Source organism: Homo sapiens, chromosome 1 (genome assembly GCF_000001405.40).
Source record: "Homo sapiens chromosome 1, GRCh38.p14 Primary Assembly".
NCBI lineage: Eukaryota > Metazoa > Chordata > Mammalia > Primates > Hominidae > Homo > Homo sapiens.
Window position 1 is genome coordinate 152457489 of NC_000001.11, and position 1646 is coordinate 152459134.

Consider the following 1646-nt stretch of genomic DNA (forward strand, 5'->3'; position numbering starts at 1 on the left):
ACTGTACCTTGCAGAATGACTGCCATCTGCCAGGCACAGTGCTAGGCTTTTTACAACCATTACGCCAGTCATTCCTTATGTCAACCTTATGTGGTGTGCATTGTCCTTTTACATTTCACATCTGAAGACAATTAGACTCAAAGGGTTTCAGATAGTTACTCGATGGGACTGGCACTCCAGAGTCTGCGAGGGCAGAGAAGTTTGCTGGGAGACTGAGAGAGTGCTCATGGGATATTGTGGTATGGGAGGAGCTGGAGCCCTATGTTCTTGGCTGGACAAAGCCCTGTTGTGCTCATTTTGGAGATGGCAGGTGGGACCAATCCCATCACAGCAGCTGCCTCAGCAGGGAGATGCCCTGCAAGGGTGAGGTGTGGCCTAGGCAAGGTGTAGGAACTGGAAACTGAGGTAGGGCTGGAGGGGGGGAATATAACAAGAGTGAAAACAGTGCTTGAGGGCAAAAATGTGATGGGGAAAGTAAAAAAAAAGACCTGGAGTCTACACTGAAATTGAGTGGGGGTGAAGAAGTGAAATATTATTTTGGACCATATGAAATTGTTGTTTTGTAGGTAAAATGGTGGATTATGAACAATTTTATGTGTTCAACCTAATGTAAGCTTACTGTGGGTAAGCACCAAATATTAAGTATAGCCCATGGAATGCAGGGTGGTCTAAAGGTGAGTGGCACTGGATCTCAGCATTTGGAATGCCTACCTGTCCCCATATGTATCATCAGAAGGCACCTGTTAAAATATACACGTTACCTAGAAGTAGCAAATATTACCTAGCAACATCCTGGCACAACTGGCTTTATTAAACCAAGTTGTCACTTACTATGACAACAGCTATATAAAGTGACTGAAAAGAAAATTGGAATTTTGATTGAAAGATCATTTTGACTAGGTAGAGCCTGAGATAGGGGAGCTGCTTGGCAGACTGTGAGCAGCACTTGGCACAAGGTGGGGGGGTTTTGATAGAAGGCATTGAGAGAGAGGAAGCCGAGGTCTGGACCCAAAAGACTTGCTGACTGGCTGTGCCCATAAGCTTCCCTGCGCTGACTGCTGTCAGCCAACAATTAGGATTTCCGTGGTGCTCTGGCTCCCTCTTCAGGGAAACTCCTGAAATGCATCGCCATGTCTCAAGAAGATGGAGCTCCAGCGAAGTTTCAGAGATGGAAGACGGAACGGTAAGGGAACTAGTATTTCTCAAATTCACACTGTGTGTAGGCAGTCTGCTGAAAAGTGGCCACTAATATTGCCATGTATAGAAGTGTAAACTCAGATAATTTACGTGATTTGTCCAAGGTCATAACTCAATGGTGGTAGAGCTGGGATTCAACTTCAGGTTAGCCTGACTCCAAAAGACAAAGGTTGACCGTGGGCATCTCCAGGGAAGGGAGCAACTTCTATTGATTTTTGAATCCAGAGCAACTTCCATTGATTTCTGAAGCTCCAGAGTATAGTTGGGTGCAACAAATGTGAATCCCCAAAGACACAGGGCCCCGCTTAAGACCCCACACGTGGTTTTCCTCCCAGAGTCAAAACCCAGCAAGTTTGTGCCCCTCTAACAGCAGTATGAATCTTGGGCCCCAAGGCTGTGTCTGGGGCAGCCCTTCATCTCTAACTTCTGAGTATTCTTGGCAACCACCT

The 1646-nt window shown here is 46.2% G+C and overlaps 1 annotated feature.

Annotated features, from left to right (window-relative positions):
• Nucleotides 1030–1099: an enhancer, noted in NCBI's record as "active region_1731". NCBI's record gives its function as "activates an Ori minimal core promoter by ATAC-STARR-seq in GM12878 lymphoblastoid cells {active_cell/tissue: GM12878}" and the evidence as "EXISTENCE:reporter gene assay evidence [ECO:0000049][PMID:35858748]".